General features: G+C 39.3%; 1 protein-coding gene and 1 long non-coding RNA gene across 10 annotated transcripts in view, besides 1 other annotated feature; both read left to right on the top strand.

Moving 5' to 3' along the window:
* Nucleotides 1-22,188, top strand: part of TTC28 (tetratricopeptide repeat domain 28) — a 701,827-nt gene that overhangs the window by 113,954 nt on the left and 565,685 nt on the right. The window lies entirely within an intron of this gene.
* LOC101929594 (uncharacterized) overlaps nt 1,050-22,188 on the top strand; it is a 51,240-nt gene continuing 30,101 nt past the window's right edge. Inside the window, exon 1 of the long non-coding RNA XR_007068041.1 lies at nt 1,050-18,213. This is a non-coding gene — a long non-coding RNA (uncharacterized LOC101929594). The remainder of the gene's footprint in view (nt 18,214-22,188) is intronic.
* Nucleotides 12,221-13,027: an enhancer, noted in NCBI's record as "H3K27ac hESC enhancer chr22:28948848-28949654 (GRCh37/hg19 assembly coordinates)". NCBI's record gives its function as "activates a minimal SCP1, AML or CMV promoter by ChIP-STARR-seq in naive H9 embryonic stem cells {active_cell/tissue: H9 hESC(naive)}" and the evidence as "EXISTENCE:reporter gene assay evidence [ECO:0000049][PMID:30033119]".

Genomic DNA, 22,188 nt, shown 5'->3' with positions numbered 1-22,188 from the left:
TTATTTCATAGCCCTTTCTTTTCCAAAGTAGTGTTTGTCCCAGCCCCCTAACTGGAGACATAATGGCAGATGTGGTATAAGGAAAAATATTTTCCATTAAGGGAAAATCTAAAAATATTATTCTAGTTATATTAATTAATCATTTCATTATATAGCAGGAAAAATTTTGTCATCTCTTTTAAAAATGATTTCAGCCCTTCTAATTTTTTCCATCTTTAATAGTAAATATACTTTTCCAAACTTGAATCAGCCATTCTCAGTTATGATTTGTGAAATGTAATCTGAAAACAAAATTTGAAATTAGTAAGCAGTTAGTAAAGAACTCTTTTTATAGTCTTATGACATTTCCAGAGCTTGGCTGGGAAGTGCAGATTTCATTATAGCTGTTTTTCATTTGGGAACTCTTGGATTTGATCTCGTTCTTTGAAAGATGGATTATGTGAATATGTGTGTGCAGAATATATCAAAATGTGTAATCAAGGAATCCCTTTTGATAGTGTTCTAGCACTTCAGGACTAAACACTCTAAGTACTATATGTTACTTTTTCTTTAATATCCTTTTCAGGAATCATAAAGTAGCCTCTTTGGTACATTTTGGTGCAGTTTAATTTCATGTGGAAACTTGGGTAGATTAAAATTTTTCTTAATTTTTTTTTCTGGGGACATAGGGAGCATAGCCATGTCTTACCTAGGTATATTGTTTCTATTGTCTTCCCAGCTTATGAGAGTAATACTTGGTTTCTGCTGTAGATTATTAAGTTGTTAACCTAGAGAACTGTACTGTATGTGAATGAGCCTCATCGAATATAGTAGGGATCTTCACTTTTGGCAGGCAGTCATATTCCTCTTTGAGAATCTGATGATGGCTATTGGTCAACTTCCCTTCCTGTGCCTCCCTCCTCCCACCCCCAAATAGTACATAAACACATTTGTTTTTACTTTCATTTTTTTGCATTGGAATTATATAATTTATATATAAATTACATATAAATTTATTTATATAATAAATTATAAATTTATATATAAAATATATATAAAATATATAAAAAATTATAAATTATATATAAATTGAGACCAGTGGTTCTCAAGATTGATAGCAGAGGTGGGGCCAGGTAAGATGATTGGGGGTTGTGTAACGTGGGGAGAGGAGAGGGATCAGAATGATCTGGGGTTCCTTGAAGTATTCTAATATATCTTGTTAGATAGGTATACCTAGATATTTGATAATCATTGTTACAGTGAGCCACTATTCTCAATGCACTGTATAGTATTGTTGAGATGTTCAGAGTGGGGTGGAAAACCACGGAATACTGCTATCACAGACAAAAATATAACAACTATCTATAATATGTTAGTGTCATTATAATGTAAAAATTAGTAAATTAATGGTTACTTTCTTTAAAAATTGAAATAAAACCAAATTGGACAAATAAAACAAAAGTCTGAATTTAGTGGTGGAAAAGTCACTAAAATTAAAAAGTATTTTCTGAAGTTTGATGTGGTATCTTGTAAGATCTTGTAAGATCTTTGACATCTGATTTCAACCTTAAGTTTAAAATATTATTTATTAAAAAATTTTACACTTAAATAATTGAAGTAAAATTGACATTACTCAAAATTAATCATTTTAAAGTAAACAATTCATGGGATTTAGTGTATTCACAATATTATACAGCAGCCAACTTTAGTTCCAAAACATTTTCATCGCCCCAAAAGGAAGTCCCATATGCATTAAGCATTTGCTCCCCATTTCCTCTTCCATCAGCCCCTGGCAACCACCAATCTACATTCTGTAGATTTACCTATTCTGGGTATTTAATATAAACAGAGTCATGTAATATGTGATTATTTGTATCTGGTTTCTTGCACTTAGTGTAATGTTTTGGAGGTTCATGTACATTATAGTGTACTACATTCCTTTTTATTGCTGAATAATATTTCTTTGTGTGTGTATATTACAATTCATTTATCCATTCATTCGTTAATGGACAGTTGGGCTGTTTTCACCTTTTGGCTATTGTGAATAATAATGCTGTCACGAACATGTATGTACATGTATTTGTTTGAGTTTCACTTCTTTTGGGTATATACCTAGGCATGGAATTGCTGACTTATATAGTAATTCTATGTTTGACTCTTTGGGAAACTGTCAGACTTTTTTCTACAGCAGTTGCATCATTTTACATCCCACCAGCAATCTACAAGGGTTCCAATTTCTCCATAACCAACACTTTTTATTTTCCATTTTTAAAATTATAGTCAGTCTAGTAGGTGTAAGGTGGTACCTTATTGTGGTTTTGATTTGCATTGATTGATGCAAATCAACTAATGATGTTGAACATCATTTCATGTGCTTGTTGCTGTTTATCTTCTTTGGATTAATCTTTGGTTTTGATGATAAGAATTATTAAGCAGTTCTTACAATTGACTCACACAGGTATATGGTTGCAAAGCAAATCACTGCAGTTCTTATTTGCTTTGCCAAGAATTACTTACCTTATATGAAGGAATCCAAGAAATTTAGAAGACTTTTGATTTAAATTTATTTTATATTAATTTCTCTTTCCTCAAGTCAATCAGGTTATCTTTAGCAAGTTCATAGCATCATTGACATTTTCTGTGGCAGTAAGAAAGGGATGACAAATATACATTTTCAATGTAAGGTCATTGAGCAAAAAACTTTAAAAAAATGTTAGTTTAAAATATTTCTATAGATTCTATTTTTTGTATATTTTTTCTATCTTATTCTTCTTCTTATTATTTTGAGGCAGAGTCTGGCCCTGTCACCCAGGTTGGAGTGTAGTGGCTCCATCTCAGGTCACTGCAACCTCTGCCTCCTGAGCTCAAGCGACCCTCCTGCCTCACCCTCCTAAGTAGCTGGGACTACAGGTACACGCCACCACACCTGGCAAATATTTGTATTTTTTGTAGAGACAGGGTTTTGCTATGTTGCCCAGGCTGGTCTCAAACTCCTGAACTCAAGTGATCCGTCTGCCTCAGCCTCCCAAAATGCTGGGATTACAGGCATGAGCCACTGTGCTGGCCCATTTCTGTCTATCTTAAAACACTTCAAAACCCTTCCTCTGATGAAGTAATTGACTTTCATGTCAGAAGGCAAGACTTCTTTTGTGCTTTTGGCAATTTTTGATGGTAAGATTTGTGAGCTGGTTGTTTAGCTATTGTTTGTCAGCTCCAAACCTGCCCTTCTATTCTCTTTATGTTACTAGTGTGGGACTGGACAAACTACATTTCTTTTTTTTTCAGCTACTCCCTTCTACCAGTACAAGGTGCTTAGATAATGGAAGTCAAAAAATAGGAGAAGGTACATGCTCATTCTTGTTTACTTATTGTGTGTTAGTTTCACTTCTACGGTGGTTCTTCACCCTGGCAGTGGCAATTGGTTTGAGACTCTGTATTTTACTGTCCTTGGACCCAACCTTACCTTGTCCTCTCAGAAATACCAGCACCAGCTAGTCTTCATGACAGTGTCTCTAAAACTCACCTTTACACATCAGAAACAGAAAAATAACTTTTGTTTTGCTCAAACACCTATACTTTTATACATCTATAATGGAGAAATTGAAAGCATCTATAATGGAGAAATTGAAAGCATTGCTATGGCTAGTCCTCTAGGAAGCCATTTTTCGTTAGCCTGAAAGAGAGTGGTTATATTTTTTATTCTCTTCTCCATGTACTACATAATTTTGTTTTCCATGCAATTTTTTTCCTCATTACTTATATTCAAAGTACTTAATTACTATGCTTTAGTATTTTAAAGGTGATCTAAGTGTCTAATTCACCTTTTTGTGTGAGTGTGAATTTTCATGATTCACTTGGGAATTCCATAAGTATTTGAGTATGCCATATGTGTCAAATACTGTGTTAGATAGTAGAGATATAATGGTATACAAATCAGACATAGTCACTGCCTTCAAGGAATATGTATTTTGTCAGGGCCAACATACTGAGTAATTACAAAATTAATACTTTATGATAGAGAAAAGACAAACTACTATAAGAAAATATGGCAAGGAGATTAATCATAGTAAACCTAGTTGAATGATTTAAAAAAAAGCCTTTCTGAAGTACTATTTAAGACGAGAGTTGAAAGCATAAGTAAGGGTTAGCTAAGTATGAGGAGGAAAGGATATGGAAGAATGTTCCAGGCTTAGCATTGAGAGTGTGAAAACAGTGGTTCCAGTTGAGGCAGGAACCATATCACAATGGGTTTTATAATTCATGTTAAATAGGTTGGAATTTACCTAAGAGGCGATGGGGAACTGTTGAGGTGTTTTTCACAGGGGAATGACATTATATCTATTAAATACCTACTGCATGTCAAGTGCTGTTCTAGACACTGGGGATCTAGAAGTGATCATGACAGAGTCCCTGCCTTCTGCAATTTTCCTTCTATGCAGGAAACAGACAAATAAATATAAAGTATATTTTCAGTAACCTTAAGTGCTATAGAAGAAACAAAGTCATGTAAGGAGTTATAAAATGAAGGAGATGGCCGGGCGTGGTGTCTCACGCCTGTAATCCCAGCACTTTGGGAGGCCGAGGTGGGTGGATCACAAGGTCAGGAGATCAAGACCATCCTGGCCAACACGGTGAAACCCCGTCTCTACTAAAAATACAAAAAAAAATTGGCCGGGCGTGGCGGTGGGTGCCTGTAGTCCCAGCTACTCTGGAGGCTGAGGCAGGAGAATGGCATGAACCCGGGAGGCGGAGCTTGCAGTGAGCCTAGATTGCGCCACTGCACTCCAGCCTGGGTGACTGAGCGAGACTCCGTCTCAAAAAAAAAAAAAAAAAAAGAAAATGAAGGAGAGAGGCCAGGCATGGTGGCTCATGCCTGTAATCCCAGCACATTGGGAGGCCGAGGTGGGCAGATCACTTGAGGTCAGGAGCTCGAGACCAGCCTGGCCAACATGGTGAAACCCTATCTCTACTAAAATTACAAAAATTAGCTGGGCATGGTGGCGGGTGCCTGTTGTCCCAGCTACTTGGGAGGCTGAGGCAGGAGAATCACTTGAACCCAGGAGGAGGAGGTTGGAGTGAGCCGAGACATGCCACTGCACTCCAGCCTGGGTGACAGAGGGAGACTCTGTCTCAAACAAACAAACAAACAAAAAAAAGAAAATGAAGGAGAGGTAGCAATTTTAGGTAGAAATGTCAGGGAAGTTCACCCTGAGGAGGTCATCTGAGAAGGCCTCTTTGATTAGGTAACATTTGAGCAGAGACCTGAATGAAGTAAGGAAGTGAGTCATATGAAGATCTGGGGAAAGCATGTCCCAGGAAGAGAAAACAGACAGTTCCTTGGGTGGGAATGATTATGTATGGGAAAAACTGCAGAAAGTTTGTGAGTGTGAAGAGAGATAAGAGATGAGGTCAGAGAGGTAGGAGGGCCCAAGTCATAAGTTACAGGACCTTGTAAGCCATGATAAGATGTTGGATTTTATTTTAAATATGATTAGAAGCCATTGGAAAGTTTTGAGCAGGGAACCAAAGTGACTTATGTTTTGGAAAGGTCATTCTGGTGGCTGGCAGAGAATAAGTAAAAAGTGGTAAGGCTAGAAGCAGGAAGGTCAATTAGAGCGCTGTTGCTGCAATCCAGGAAAGAAATGATAACTTAGACTAGGGTGATAACTGTTGAGGTGGTAAAAACAGCTGGATTTAGGATATGTTTTCCAGATAGCATCAAGTAGGATTTGGAGGGATTTGAATTTGGGTTGTGAAAGAAAGCGAGGAATCAAGGATGACTCAGAGGTCCTTAACCTGTGCTGCTGGGTGAATGCTGATGCCAGTTCTGAGACAGGAAGGAATGAAGGAGAAATTCTTTTTTTGGAGGGGAGTAATACAAAGCCAAGAGTTCTGTTTTAGATATTAAATTTGAGATTCCTCTTAGACATCCAATTGGAGAAGACAAATAGGTATTTGGGCCCATGGGAGAGATCAGGGCTCAAGCTATAAATCTGAGATTTGCCAGCACATAGGTGGTAGTTAAAGCCATAATAAAACTTGATGAGATACTTAGAGAGTGTTTGTATAGAAGAGAGAAGACTGAGGACTGAGTCTTGTGGCACTTCAACATTCAGAATTTAGGAAAAGATGGGAATATCAGCAAAGGAGCCTGAGGAGGAGCAGCGAATGTGGTAAGAGAAAAAACTGGAGAACGTGATATCCTAGAAGCTAAGTGAAGGAGAGAATGACCCGTTGTGTCAAATACTAAGATTATGTCCTGAAGAAAGACCACTTTGGTTATAGGATGGATGATGGACTACAGAGAGGCAAGACTGTAGGTGGGGAAATAGATGCTGTTGCTCTACTTAGGGGAGAAATGATAAATATTGTCTTAGGCCGGGGTGGTGGCAGTTGGGATGGAGTGTGGTAGATAAATTCAGCAGGCAGAATTAGTAGACTTGGTAATTGGGTATGGGCTGAATGTTATAGGTCTTAAGTTTAACTTCGTAAATGATTGAACTTTAAAAACTATAGTACTCGAATGAGTAAATAAAAAACTGAAGTTACTGTGGCTGGAGTACTTTCGGATTCTTTGGAGACTGAGATTTTTAGTATTATTTGAACTGATCTTGGTTGTACAAGTTTGGCTAAGTGAAACTAATGACATTTTAACTGACATTTTGGATTAGGGCATATCAATTGATCTTTGTAGAAAAACTGTTTCTAAGCATATGGATAAGATAAAGATATCTAGGGGCATGCATGATTAATGAAATCATGTGAACCATTTTCAAGCAGTCATTTTTGAGCAGGCCCTCTACATATCAACTCTTTTTGGGTCATCATTCACTTGGAAATAAATAAACCGAAATTCTCTCTTTTTTTTTTTTGAGATGGAGTCTTGCTTTTGTTGCCCAGGCTGGAGTGCAGTGGCGTGATCTCGGCTCACTGCAATCCCCGCCTCCCGGGTTCAAGCTATTCTCCTGCCTTAGCCTCCTGAGTAGCTGGGATTACAGGTGCCCGCCACCATACCCAGCTAATTTTTGTACTTTTAGTAGAGACAGGGTTTTGCCATGTTGGCCAGGCTGGTCTGTTTTGATCTCCTGACCTCAGGTGATTCGCCTGTCTTGGCCTCCCAAAGTGCTGGGATTACAGGCATGAGCCACTGTGCCCGGCCAGAAATGGAAATTCTTTAGGATAATCTATTATGAAGTATTTACAATATATCTTTTTTTCTTTTTTATTTTTTTGAGATGGAGTTTCACTCTTGTTGCCCAGGCTGGAGTGCAGTGGTGCGATCTCAGCTCACTGCAACCTCCGCCTCCGGGGTTCAAGCGATTCTCCTGCCTCAGCATCCCAAGTAGCTGGGATTACAGGCATGCGCCACCATGCCCGGCTAATATTTTGTATTTTTAGTAGAGACAGGGTTGCACCATGTTGGTCAGGCTGGTCTTGAACTCCTGACCTCAGGTGATCCACCTGCCTCTGCCTCCCAAAGTACTGGGATTACAGGCGTGAGCCACTGCGCCTGGCCAATATTTTTGACATGCTGAATCCTCACTTTATCCACATCAGTGAGGTACTACTTGACAAAAATACCCCAACATTTTTGGTTTCTTGGTGACAGTTTACATCTTACCATGTAAATGAACTCTGAATAACAAATTACTTATGATAAATGTTAAATTAGTCCATGATAGTTCCTCTGGAATTATTTATCAAGTAAAAGATGAGCATAGATAAGGAAAGGATTTGGGTATTTCACCTTCGGAAGAATAACAGACAAGTTAGGTTATAGGAACCTTTCACAACAAACCACTGACGAATGCATTGCTGGACTTGTAGAAATTAAGTGAAATTATACAATGTTTATCAAAAGTAAAAAAATCAAAATAAAAACGATGACAAAATTACAGCTAAAAATTATGAACTAAGACTGGAACAGTAAAAAATGATCATGAAAGGTAGCCTTGGAGGTAAATGTTTATATCAGCATGGCAGTGGGAAGCCTTAGGTAGGTAACAAGATAAGAAAGCTGAATATGAAATTCTAGCCTTAAGCCAGGGACACTTGAAGGGAACCAGAGAAGATTGATAGAGCCCATAGTTCCTGGAAGAAGCAAATATAAATTCTCTCTCTGAAGGAAAACCTTCTTCATTTACCACCTAGGATTCTCTGTTTAAGATCAACTAGATTTGAAGTCACAATCCAAGATGACCAAATACAGAAGGAGACAAATCATTATTAAGGAGTTGGCTGAAAAATACAACAGACCCCAAGAACTTAAGATATTGAAGGGATCAGGTATAGAATATTAAATAACTATGCATAAAATATTTAAAGATACAAGAGAGGAACTCACAAAAATGAGCGAGCAGCAAGAGAGTATCAAATATGACCAAGAAGATTTGAAAATGTACCAAATAGAATGTCTGTACATGAAAAATGTAGTTGTTGGAATAAAAACCTCCAGATTGGTTAAATAGCAGCTTAAACCTAGCTTCAGAGAGAATTAGTGAACTAGAAGATGGTTTGAAGAAATCACAAAGAATGTAGCACAGAGGCAGAGAAATGGAATATATGACAGAGAGGTTAGGAGAAATGGAATATGAAGGTTTAATGTAAGTCTCTAGTCAGAATCCCAGAAAGCAAGACAAGAAAATGCAGGAGAGACAATATTGGAAGAGATAATGGCTGAAAATTTTCTAAAATTATTGAAAGACTTGAATTTATAGATATAGAAAAGCTCAACTTTGACAAAGCAGAATAATTAAACCCACACCTGAAGATACTGTAGGTGAAACTGTGTCTGGTAACCAGCCTCCAAGATGATCCCGAATGATTCTTTCTTTCACACCCTTATATTGTCCTCACTCACACTTAATGGGGCTGAATTTCATAACTAATAGGGTATTGTGCAAATGAAGGGGTGTGACGTTGGAGGTTAAGTCATGAAAGGCATTGTGGCTTCCACCTTGCCCATTCTTGGATCACTCACTCTGGATGAAGCCAATCACCATGTTGTGAGGTCACTCAGGCAACCCATGGAAAAGCCCTACTGGAGAAGAATTGAGCCCTCCTGCCAATAACCAGCATCAGCTTATGAGGCATGAGTGAGCTACCTTGGAAGTGTATCCTTCTGCCCTGGCCAGCCCTTCAGATGATTATAGCTCTAGCTAGCATCTCAGCTGCAGCCTCATAAAATACCTTCAGCCAGAATCAGCCAGCTAAGCTGCTTCTGAGTTCTTGAGCCACAGAAACTGTGGAATAATAGGTGTTTATTGTTTTAAGCCGCTGTGTTTTGGGGATAACTTCTCATGCAGCATTACATACCTAATATACTAAAGAACATCAAAGACAATGAGAAAAATCTTAAAAGTAACCAGAAAGAAAAGATGGATTACTTAGAGAGTAACAACACTTGGACTGATGTTAGATTTCTCAGTAGCAAACGTGGAAGCTATAGTATCTGCATGCATAGTGTGGAGGAAAGTATCAGTTGGCCTAGTGTTATATATTTAGAAAAATGATCTTTTAAGAATGAAAGAGAAATAGGGCTTTTTTTTTGAGACAGGGTCTTGCTGTGTTGCCCAGGCTGGGGTGCAGTGGTGCGATCTTGGCTCACTGCAACCTCTGCCTCCCGAGTTCAAGTGATTCTCCTGCCTCAGCCCCCCTGAGTAGCTGGGACTACAGAGATGTGCCACCATGCCCAGCTAATTTTGTATTTTTAGTAGAGACGGGGTTTTACTATGTTGGCCAGGCTGGTCTTGAACTCCTGACCTCATGTGATCCACCCTCCTTGGCCTCCCAAAGTGCTGGGATTACAGGCATGAGCCACTGTGCCCAGCTGAAAAATAGGGCATTTTTTTTTTTTAATAAACCAAAACTGAGTTTTCCATGAACCCTTCACTAAAGGGTATATTTTATGGCGAAGGAAAATGATCTCAGAAAAGTCTGATATATGATGATGAGCAACAAAATTAGTAAACATGTGGATAAATGTAAATAAGAATTATCTGTATAAAAGAGTAGCATCTAATTTGTGGGATTAAAAAAGACATAACTAAAATATTGCATTTAAAAATTTATTTCAATAGGTTTTTGGGGAACAGTTGGTGTTTGGTTACATTAATAAGTACTTTAGTGGCGATTTCTGAGATTTTTGGTGCACCCATCGCCCGAGCAGCATGCCCAAAGTGTAGTCTTTTATCCCTCAGCACCCCCCACCCTTTCCCTGTAATCCCCAAAGTCCAATGTATCATTCTTATGCCTTTGTGTCCTCATAGCTTAGCTCCCACATATGAGTGAGAACATACAATGTTTGGTTTTCCATTCCTGAGTTACTTCACCTAGAATAATAGTCTCCAATTCCATTCAGGTTGCTGCAAATGCCATTATTTCATTCCTTTTTATGGCTGAGTAGTATTCCATGGTATAAAATATACCACATTTTCTTTATCTGCTCATTGATTGATGGGCATTTGGGCTGGTTCCGTATTTTTGCAATTAGAAATTGTGCTGCTATAAACATAGGTGTGCAAGTATCTTTTTGCATAATGACTTCTTTTCCTCTGGGTAGATACCTAGTAATGGGATTGCTGGATCAAACGGTAGATCTACTTTTAGTTGTTTAATGAGTCTCCACACTGTTTTCCCTAGTGATTGTACTGGTTTACATTCCCACCAACAGTGTAAAAGTGGTCCCTTTTCACTACATCCATGCCAACATCTATTATTTTTTCATTATGGCTATTCTTGCAGGAGTGAGGTGGTATTACATTGTGGTTTTGATTTGCATTTCCCTGATAATTAGTGATGTTGAGCATTTTTCCATATGCTTGTTGGCCATTTGTATATCTTCTTTTGAGAATTGTCTATTTATGTCTTCAGCTCACTTTTTGATGGGATTGTTTTTTTCTTGCTGATTTGTTTGAGTTCTGCATAGATTCTGAATATTAGTCCTTTGTTGGATATATAGATTGCGAAGACTTTTTCTCACTCCGTGGATTGTCTGTTAACTTTGCTGATTATTTCTTTCTTTTTTTTTCCTTTTAAAAGACGGAGTCTCACTCTGTTACCCAGGCTGGAGTAGAGTGGTACAATCTCGGCTCACAGCAACCTCCGCCTCCCAGGTTCAAGTGATTCTCCTGCCTCAGCCTCCCTAGTAGCTGGGATGACAGGTGTGTGCCACCACACCCGGTTAATTTTTGTATTTTTAGTAGAGATGGGGTTTCACCATGTTGGCCAGGCTGGTCTCGAACTCCTGACCTCAAGTGATCTGCTTGCCTCAGCCTCCCAAAGTGCTGGGATTACAGGTGTGAGTGTCTGTGCCAGACCTCTGCTGATTATTTCTTCTGCTGTGCAGAAGCTTTTAAGTTTAATTAAGTCCCATCAATGTATCTTATTTTGTTGATGCATTTGTGTTTGGGTTCTTGGTCATGAAGTGTTTGCCTAAGCCAGTGTCTAGAAGGGTTTTTCCAATGTTGTCTTCTAGAATCTTTATGGTTTCAGATCTTAGATTTAAGTCTTTGATTCATCTTTTTTTTTTTTTTTTAATTGATCATTCTTGGGTGTTTCTTGCAGAGGGGGATTTGGCAGGGTCATAGGACAATAGTGGAGGGAAGGTCAGCAGATAAACAAGTGAACAAAGGTCTCTGGTTTTCCTAGGCAGAGGACCCTGCGGCCTTCCGCAGTGTTTGTGTCCCTGGGTACTTGAGATTAGGGAGTGGTGATGACTCTTAACCAGCATGCTGCCTTCAAGCATCTGTTTAACAAAGCACATCTTGCCCCGCCCTTAATCCATTTAACCCTGAGTGGACACAGCACATGTTTCAGAGAGCACAGGGTTGGGGGTAAGGTCACAGATCAACAGGATCCCAAGGCAGAAGAATTTTTCTTAGTACAGAACAAAATGAAAAGTCTCCCATGTCTACTTCTTTCTACACAGACACGGCAACCATCCGATTTCTCAATCTTTTCCCCACCTTTCCCCCCTTTCTATTCCACAAAACTGCCACTGTCATCATGGCCCGTTCTCAATGAGCCGCTGGGCACACCTCCCAGACGGGGTGGTGGCCAGGCAGAGGGGCTCCTCACTTCCCAGCAGGGGCAGCCGGGCAGAGGTGCCCCTCACCTCCCGGACGGGGTGGCTGGCCGGGCGGGGGGCTGACCCCCTCACCTCCCTCCCGGACGGGGCAGTTGGCCTGGCGGGGGCTGACCCCCCACCTCCCTCCCGGACGGGGCGGCTGGCCTGGCGCGGGGGCTGACCCCCACCTCCCTCCCGGATGGGGTGGCTGCCGGGCGGAGACGCTCCTCACTTCCCAGACGGGGTGGCTGCCGGGCGGAGGGGCTCCTCACTTCTCAGACGGGGTGGCTGCCAGGCAGAGGGTCTCCTCACTTCTCAGACGGGGCGGCCGGGCAGAGACGCTCCTCGCCTCCCAGACGGGGTTGCGGCCGGGCAGAGGCGCTCCTCACATCCCAGACAGGGCGGCGGGGCAGAGGCGCTCCCCACATCTCAGACGATGGGCGGCCGGGCAGAGACGCTCCTCACTTCCTAGATGGGATGTCGGCTGGGAAGAGGGGCTCCTCACTTCCTAGATGGGATGGCGCTGGGCAGAGACGCTCCTCACTTTCCAGACTGGGCAGCCAGGCAGAGGGGCTCCTCACATCCCAGACGATGGGCGGCCAGGCAGAGACGCTCCTCACTTCCCAGACGGGGTGGCGGCCGGGCAGAGGCTGCAATCTTGGCACTTTGGGAGGCCAAGGCAGGCGGCTGGGAGGTAGAGGTTGCAGCGAGCGGAGATCACGCCACTGCACTCCAGCCTGGGCACCATTGAGCACTGAGTGAACGAGACTCCGTCTGCAATCCCGGCACCTCGGGAGGCCGAGGCTGGCGGATCACTCGCGGTTAGGAGCTGGAGACCAGCCCGGCCAACACAGCGAAACCCCGTCTCCACCAAAAAAATACGAAAACCAGTCAGGCATGGTGGCGCGCGCCTGCAATCACAGGCACTCGACAGGCTGAGGCAGGGGAATCAGGCAGGGAGGTTGCAGTGAGCTGAGATGGCGGCAGTACAGTCCAGCTTTGGCTCGGCATCAGAGGGAGACCGTGGAAAGAGAGGGAGAGGGAGACCGTGGGGAGAGGGGGAGGGGGAGGGGGAGGCGGAGAGGGAGAGGGAGAGGCTTTGATCCATCTTGAATTGATTTTTGTATAAGGTGAGAGATGAGGATCCAGTTTCATTCTTCTACCTGTGGCTTGACAGTTGTCCCAGCACCTTTTGTTGAATAGGTCGTCCTTTCCCCACTTTATGTTTTTGTTTACTTTGCCAAAGAACAGTTAGCTGTAAGTATTTGGGTTTATTTTTGGATTCTCCATTCTGTTTCATTGGTCTATGTGCCTATTTTTATACCAGTACCAGGCTGTTTTGGTGACTATGGCCTTATAGTATACTTTGAAGTCAGTAATGTGATACTTCTAGATTTGTTCTTTTTGCTTAGTCTTACGTGGCTATGCGGGCTCTTTTTTGGTTCCATATGAATTTTGGGATTTTTTTTCTCGTTCCGTGAAGATTTATGGTGATATTTTGATGGGAATTGCATTGAATTTGTAGATTGCTCTTGGCAAGATGGTCATTTTTGCAATATTGATTCTACTCATCCATGAGCATGGGTTGTGTTTCCATTTGTTTGTGTCATCTGTGATTTCTTTCAGCAGTATTTTGTAGTTTTCCTTGTAGAGGTCTTTCGCCTCCTTGGTTAGGTATATTCCTAAGTATTTTATTATTTTTTTTGTGGTTATCGTGAAGGGGGTTGAGTTTTTGATTTGATTCTCAGCTTAGTTGCTATTGGTGTATAGCAGAGCTACTGATTTGTGTGTATTAATTTTGTATCCTAAAACTTTGCTGAATTCATTTACCAGTTTTAGGAGCTTTTTGGATGAATCTTGAGGGTTCTCTAGGTATATGATCATATCATCAGCAAACAGTGACAGTTTGACTTCCTCCTTACTGATTTGGATGTGCTTTATTTTTTTCTCTTGTCTGATTGCTCTCGCTAGGACTTCCGGTACTATGTTGAATAGAAGTGGTGAAAGAGGACATCCTTGTCTTGTTCCAGTTCACAGGGGGAATGCTTTCAAGTTTTCTTTGTTAAGTGTAATGTTGGCTGTGGGTTTGTCGAAGATGGCTTTTATTACATTAAAGTATGTCCCTTCTATGCTGATTTTGCTGAGGGTTTTAGTCATAAAGAGATGCTGGATTTTATCAGATGCTTTTTCTGCATCTATTGAGATGATCATGTGATTTTTGCTTTCAACTCTGTTTATGTGGTATAACACATTTATTGACTTACATATGTTAAACCATCCTCATCCCTGGTATGAAACCACTTGGTCATGGTGGATTATCTTTTTGATATGCTGTTGGATTTGGTTTGCTAGTATTTTGTTGAGGATTTTTGCATCTATTTTCATCAGGGATATTGGTCTGTAGTTTTCTTTTTTTTGCTGTGTCCTTCCCCAGTTTTGTTATTAGGGTTATACTGACTTCATAGAATGATTTAGGAAGGATTCCCTCTTTCTCTATCTTTTGGAATAGTGTCAATAAGATTGGTAGCAATTCATCTTTGAGTGTCTAATAGAATTTAGCTGTGAATCTGCCTGGTGCTGGACTTTTTTTTGTTTACAATTTTAAAATTACCATTTCAATCTTGCTGCTGTTATTGGTCTGTCCCGAGATTCTATATCTTCCCGGTTTAATCTAGGAGGGTTGTATATTTCCAGGAATTTATCAATCTCCTGGAGTAGTAAAGTCCCTCACTATTATTGTGTTGCTGTCTATCTCATTTCTTAGGTCTAGTAGTAATTGTTTTATAAATTTGGGGGCTCCAGTGTTAGGTGCATATATATTTAGAATTGTGATATTTTCCTGTTAAACTAGTCCTTTTATCATTATATAATGTCCGTCTTTGTCTTTTTTAACTGCTATTGCTTTAAAGTTTGGTTTGTCTGATATAAGAATAGTTGTTCCTGCTTGCTTTTGGTGTCCATTTGCATGGAATATCTTTTTCCACCCCCTTTGCCTTAAGTTTATATGAGTCCTTGGAAATCACTTAAAACAACTCCATTCAAATTTTTTTCTAGTTTTTAATTTTTATTTTTTAATTCTGGAACAGTAGATAAAATTCTGTCAAGACTAATCAAATGTTTTGCTGCAGTGCTAGTCTATTAAACCTTCGCATTTATGTCATTATACTGTAAAATAGAATTTATGGTACTTTTTAATGTTTCATTTTTCTCTTTTTATAGTTTTTTGTAGAGCAAAGTAACATTGGAGATAATTTTTTATATTAGCTTTGCTACTGATACAAATGATAGACGCACACTCCTGATAGAAGTAGGGCATGAATACTTGATTAGTCTTTAACAGTGATGGTTACAGGGATAGTATATCGCAGTTACAGTTAATCCCTGACCACTGAGTTGTTTAAGTAGGCATTTAGGATTCTTGTGATTGATGAAATAAACTAAAATAGTCTTGTCTTTAAGGAGATGTAGCTTGAATGAGGATAATGAAACCATAGTAATGTAGATAAACCTTACTGACATTTTGTGCTTTCAAAGGGAAATGGGATCTTAAACTGCTTTGGCTAAAATTTCAAAATGAATTGTAGCCACAATTCTGAAATTATGGGTCTCTGTCCCTAAAAAATTCTTTTAAAGAATTTAACATCTACTTCTGCAAAATGTCAATAATACCATTTACCTCTTTTTTTCAGGGACGTAGTGAGGAGTACCTCTTTGAAAATGGCAAATGTTATCTGTTAGACTGTTGCATCTCATCACTGGAAGATATTTTTTCACTAAACAGTCATAGAGAAAATGGTTATCATTGATCTTAAAATGGATTGATCACAATCCTCACTGGACTAAAATTGTTGGGAATTAAAGTACAGATCTTATTTGATTGTGAGCAGAAGAAACTTAAAAGCTTTGACTTTTCAATTTAGAAGTTTGGAGATTTAAGGTATGATATAATAATTTACAACTGTATTTTGTGAAATCGGTGATCTCCAATCTTTAGATTGAAGAAAAACATTGAAGACCATGAATTTTACAGTGACTTATCTCTTCCAGTTAGCAAATCAAGCACATTTTTTGTTTTGCAAATGTCTTAACTGTAAAAAGTATATAACCACATAGCTCTTCTTTTGAAAAGGGATCTAACCTACAGAATATAGTTGTTATGTATTTTAAAATTTAAAGATGTTTTTGTTCAATTAATTGGCAAACAGTTGATTAATCATTATGTATTAACTTTAGGCATTGTAATGAGTACCAAAGAATTAAGATAGACTTAAAAAGGAGAGAATCCAAATCCTTTGAGAACTGTTTGTTTTTATAGTTTACAGTCCTGATGTTTAACACAGGGCCTGGCAGCAGTAGACATTTACTAAAGGTTAGTTGAATGAGTAAATGAATAAGAAGGACCTGATAGTTGCCCTCAAGAAACTTAGAGCCCTTAAATGTAATAAGATGAATATACAGAAAACCAGACTGATCAATAGACAATAATAGTGTGCTCAATAATTAGAATTTAGAGGTCAGGCATGGTGGCTCACACCTGTAATCCCAGCACTTCGGGAGGCTTAGGTGGGTAGATCACCTGAGGTCAGAAGTTTGAGACCAGCCTGGCCAACATGGTGAAACCCCATCTCTCCTAACAATAAAAAAAATTAGCTGGGTGTGATGGTGGGTGCCTGTAATCCCAGCTACTCGGGAGGCTGGGGCAGGATAATTTCTTGAACCCAGGAGGCAGAGGCTGCAGTGAGCTGAGATCGTGCCACTGCACTCCAGCCTGGGTGACAGAGCGAGACTCCATCTCAGAAAAAAAAAGGAAAAAAGAAAAAAAAGTAGAATTTAGAGGTGTTAGAATTTGGAGGAAACATTAAAATAGTTTTCAAACATGGTATTTGGACTACTATTAACAAAACTTACTGTAGTGGTAAAGTCAGGTGAAGTCCTCTTAAAGAATGTGGGACTTGAACAAGCCCTAAAGGATTGGTAGGATTTGGATGTGAATAAAAGAGGCATCATAGGTAGGGGAACATCATGACTGTCATGGGGGTAAGGAAACATGTTTATGAGCCGATGAGAAAAATGGCCTTCTTGTAAAACTTTAAACTATAATAATGCTGGATTGATAGGTGGTGTTTAGGCAGACAATTCAAATTTCCAAATGGCAGTTTTACCATTCACCACCAAACTGATCTGCTGAATGCTTCCAGCCATATCCATCTGCCAGGAGCCTGCCTGGCACACTGCCTCTCGGCTATTTGCTCAGATGGTTTGACAGATGCATAGGTAGTAAGAAATGGTGCTGTTAATGTCAGTAAAGCTGCCCTTTGTGAAAGCTAGTTAACCAGTGTGACTTTGAGCTTTATAACTGATGATTTGTGGTGATGTTAGATTAAAAAAAATGTAGCTTTAAATGGTGTGGGAGATGCTGGGCTTGCCTTATTGTTCAGAGATTGCCATGTTGGTTTGATACTGGGCTGGAAGGTCTCTCCGCTTACCCTACCTCATACTTCCTCAACACCCTGAGATACCAGAATGAATTGATTATTTCTTTGCTCATGGTTAAAACATATATTTTTAGAGAAGGGTTCATGCTCAGCCTGCTATAAATGCATATTTGCTTTCGGGCCTTGTTCTAAGATGATATGGGGCTAGGCCGTATCCCTCAGGGTGAACACAAATTGTACTCCCCTCACTCTGTAAGTCACTGTCAAAAACATGGAGTGCTTAGATATGGGAAGAAAATTAAATGTCACTTGATAGAGCTTTTGTCTTTTATTAGATGATATTTAGATAATAATAAAAAACTAGTGCATTTGAATTATGTGACATAAGAGAGTTCCAAAAGAGAGCAGCAGTATTGGGTGGTTAGAAATATAGATTAATGACCCACAATTTTCGTATCTAGTATTCTTGATGGAGTGATTGTAGTGCTAAGAAACTATGAGTAAATATGTCTTTACTTAAAATTATTTAATCTTTAGCGAGTATTTAACTGTTGGCTCTGGTTTTGCATTGTTTACTTTTTTTTTTTTTAACTAGGGGGAGTTAAATGATACATGTCTGTAGAGTTATTTTATGCTACTTTTCTTTAACATGCCTCAGCATTAAAATGTCCTTAAGAATATTGCATCATATCATTAAGAGTCTGACTATGGAAGGAATGCGACCGTATTACAGTGAGTAAATTTTTCATGACTACAGCCCATGGATGTTAAATAAAAAATGACAGCTTCTTGGATTTGATTGCAGTATAAAATTGTGACTCAGAATACTAGATTCATTGACTGGGGGTAGAAAGAGGACACTTTAGGACACTTTGTATGAGAAGCAGAAAATGTTTTGCATACTTTATAAGGGAGAGACAAAAATCTTGAGTGTAGTTTTACATCGTTTATTAATGGTAGAACCACTTTGTTGAAATGAATTAAGTGTAGAGTCTTGTACCACTTCACCTTCATTCATTCAGCTGAAGTATAGGAGGATGATTCGTGCTTAAATGAATCTTTGCCTGCATTTGTGCAGGGAAAAACTTTGGCAGTCCCAATCACTGGACTGCACACAGCCATGGAATATTGTAGCATTACTGCCATGTTCCATGTGTATGTGTGCATAAGACACACACACACACACACACTCACACACACACATACACACATGCAGAGAGATCTTAAAAATCACTTTATTGAAGTATAATTGACATGCAAATATTATAAAACATCCATTTAAAATATATAGTTCAATGCTCAATGAACCTAACAAATGAACCCGTGCAATCAGATTTATATATTTATATTTTGACTGTGCAGTCAAGATATAGAGCACTTCCATGACCCCAGAAAGTTCCCTTTGCCCTTTTCTAGTCACTCCATCCCTGTGTCCCTACCTGAGGCAAACACTGACCTGCTTTCTGTCACTATAGATCATATTTGTCCTTTCTAGAGTCTCATATGTTTGGAGTCGCACAGCATGGAATCTTTTGTGTTTGGCTTCTTTTGCTCATTGTGATGTTTTTGAGTTTCATCCATATTGCTCTTATATAAGTAATTTACTCCTTTTTATTGTTGAGTGGTATTCTGTTGTGGTATTCTAGATATATTACAATTTATTTATCTATTTACTTGTTGATGGACCTTTGAGTTAGTTTTATTTTTTAGTATTATGAATAACACTGCTATGAACATTCGAGTGCAAGTCTCTGTGTAAATGAGTTTTTATTTCTCTTGGGTAAAGACCTAGATGTAGAATTACTGGGTCACATGGTAACTCCAAGGAAACTACAGTATTGTTTGCCATAGTGTTTGTACCACTTTACATGCTCACCAACAATATAGAGTTTCAGTTACTTGATATCTTCTCCAACACATGGTGTTGACAGTCTTCAATTTTGTTTGTTTGTTGTTTTTTTGAGAGGAATTTTGCTCTGTCACCCAGGCTGGAGTGCATTGGTGCCCTCTCGGCTCACTGCAACCCCCGCCTCCCGGGTTCAAGCGATTCTCCTGTCTTAGCCTCCCAAGTAGCTGGGACTACAGGTGTGCACCACCACACCTGGCTAATTTTTGTATTTTTAATAGAGACGGGGTCTCACCATGTTGGGCCAGGCCCAAGTGCTGGGATTATAGGCATGAGCCACCACACCTGGTACCTTTGTCAAAAATCAGTTGACCATATATTTGAGGCCTATTTCTGGATTTTCTCTTCTGTTCTATTGATTTATTACATACCTATCCTTATGCAAATACCACAGTGTCTTGATTACTGTAGCTTTATAGTAAGTCTTAGAATCAGGTAGCATAAGTCTTCTAGCTTTGTTCTTTTCTTTCATAGTTGCTCTGGCTAGCCTAGGTTCTTTACATTTCCATGTAAATTATAGAATCAGCTTACTGATTTCTACAAAAAATCTTGTTGGAATTTTGATTGAAATTGCATTGAATTCTATTGATTAATTTGTGTAGAATTGACATCTTAACAATATCGAGTCTTCCCCTTTGTGAACATAGTATACTTCTCTAATTAAATATCTTATTTAGTTTCTTTCAGCAATATTCTGTAATTTTTCTTATATAGTCTTGCATGTATTACGTTAGATTTATTGTTAAACATTTCATGTTTTTGGATAACATTGTGAATGATATATATATTTTTAAATTTAAATATCCAATTGTCTATTGCTAGTATTAGAAATACAATTGATTTTTGTATATTGAACCTATATCCTGTGACTTTGCTAAATTCACCTGTTATTTATATTAGTTTTTTTATTTTTTGTTTTTAGAGACACAGTCTTCCTTTGTCACCTGGGCTAGAGAAGAGTGGCACAATCATAGCTCACTGTAGCCCCAAACTCCTAGGCTCAAGTGATCCTCCTGCCTCAGCCTCACAGGTAGCTGGGACTGTAGGTGCATGCCACTATGCCTGGCTATTTTTTATTTTTTTAATTTTTTTTGTAGAGACAGGGTCTCACTATGTTGCCCAGGCTAGTCTTGAACTCCTGACTTTAAGTGCTCCTCCTGTCATGGCCTCCCAAATTGCTAGGATTATAGGTGTAAACCACCTCATCCAGCCACTTCTATTAGTTTTTAAAATTTGTTTGTAGATGTCTTGGGATTTCTCTAGCCTTGTTGCATTGGCTAGAATCTGTAGTATGGTGAAGTGATGATAATTTATATACTTGCCTTGTTCCTGACCTTCAGGAGAAAATTCACTATTACTAATAAGTGTGATGTTACTGGAAAGGGGTCCCCATCCAGACCCCAAGAGAGGGTTCTTCGATTTTGCACAAGAAAGAATTTGAGATGAATCCATAGAGTAAAGCGAAAGCAAATTTATTAAGAAAGTAAAGGAATAAAAGGATGGCTACTCCATAGGCAGAGCACCCTCATGGGCTGCTCGATTGAGTATACTTATAGTTGTTTCTTGATTATATGCTCTACAAGGGGTGGATTATTCATGAGACTTCTGGGAAAGAGGTGGGCAATTCCTGAAACTAAGGGTTCCTCCCCTTTTTAGACCATATAGGGTAACTTCCAGATGTTGCCATGGCATTTATAAACTGTTATGGCACTGGTAGGAGTGTCTTTTAGTAGCTAATGCATGATAATTAGCATGTAATGAGCAGTGAGGATGACCAGAGGTCACTTTTGGGGCCATCTTGGTTTTGGTGGGTTGTGGCTGGCTTCTTTATCACATCCTGTTTTATCAGCAAGGTCTTTGTGATCCGTGTCTTGTGCTGACCTCCTATCTCATCCTGTGACTAAGAATGTCTTACCTCCTGGGAATGCAGCCCAGCCGGTCATAGCCTTATTTTATCCATCCCCTAATCAAGATGGAGTTGCTCTGGGTCAAATGCCTCTGACAATGTTAGCTGTTAAGTTTTCTTATAGAAGCCTTATATCATGTTGAGAAAGTTTCATTCTAGTCTTAGTTTGATGAGACTTGTTAAAAAGTATATTATGAATGGATCTTGAATACTATCAAATGCTTTCTTTTATATCTGTTTAATTGATTACATGGTTTTATTTATTATTCTGATTGTTGTTCATTGATTCATTTTCAAATGTTAAGCCAACTGTGGGAAATATTCTAGGAATGCAAGGTGTTTTTGTTTGTTTGTTTGTTTTTGTTTTTGTTTTTTTGAGACGGAGTCTCACTGTGTTGCCCAGGCTGGAGTGCAGTGGTGTGATCTCAACTCACTGCAACCTCCTCCCAGGTTCAAGTGATTCTCCTGCCTCAGCCTCCCGAGCAGCTGGGATTACAGGTGCCCGCCACCACGCCTGGCTAATTTTTGTATTTTTAATAGAGATGGGGTTTCACCAGGTTGGCCAGGCTGGTCTCAAACTCCTGACCTCAGGTGATCCACCCACCTTGGCCTCTCAAAGTGCTGGGATTACAGGCGTGAGCCACCACACCCAGCCACAAGGTTTGTTTAACATTCGAGAATCAATCCCAGTTGGTCATGGTGTATTATTATTTTTTTAGATATTGTTGGATTTGATTTGCAACAATTTTATTTAGAATTTTTTCATCTGTGTTCATTAAAGATACTGGTTTGTAGTTTTCTTATGTCTTTGTCTGCTTTCATTGTCAGTATAATGCTACATTATCAAAGGAGTTTGAAAATGTCTCCTCTTAGTACCTTTTCTAAAAATGTCTGT

This window comes from Homo sapiens, chromosome 22 (assembly GCF_000001405.40).
Source record: "Homo sapiens chromosome 22, GRCh38.p14 Primary Assembly".
Taxonomy (NCBI): domain Eukaryota; kingdom Metazoa; phylum Chordata; class Mammalia; order Primates; family Hominidae; genus Homo; species Homo sapiens.
Note: the sequence above shows the minus strand (reverse complement) of the source record. Positions and strands in the feature narration are given on the sequence as shown.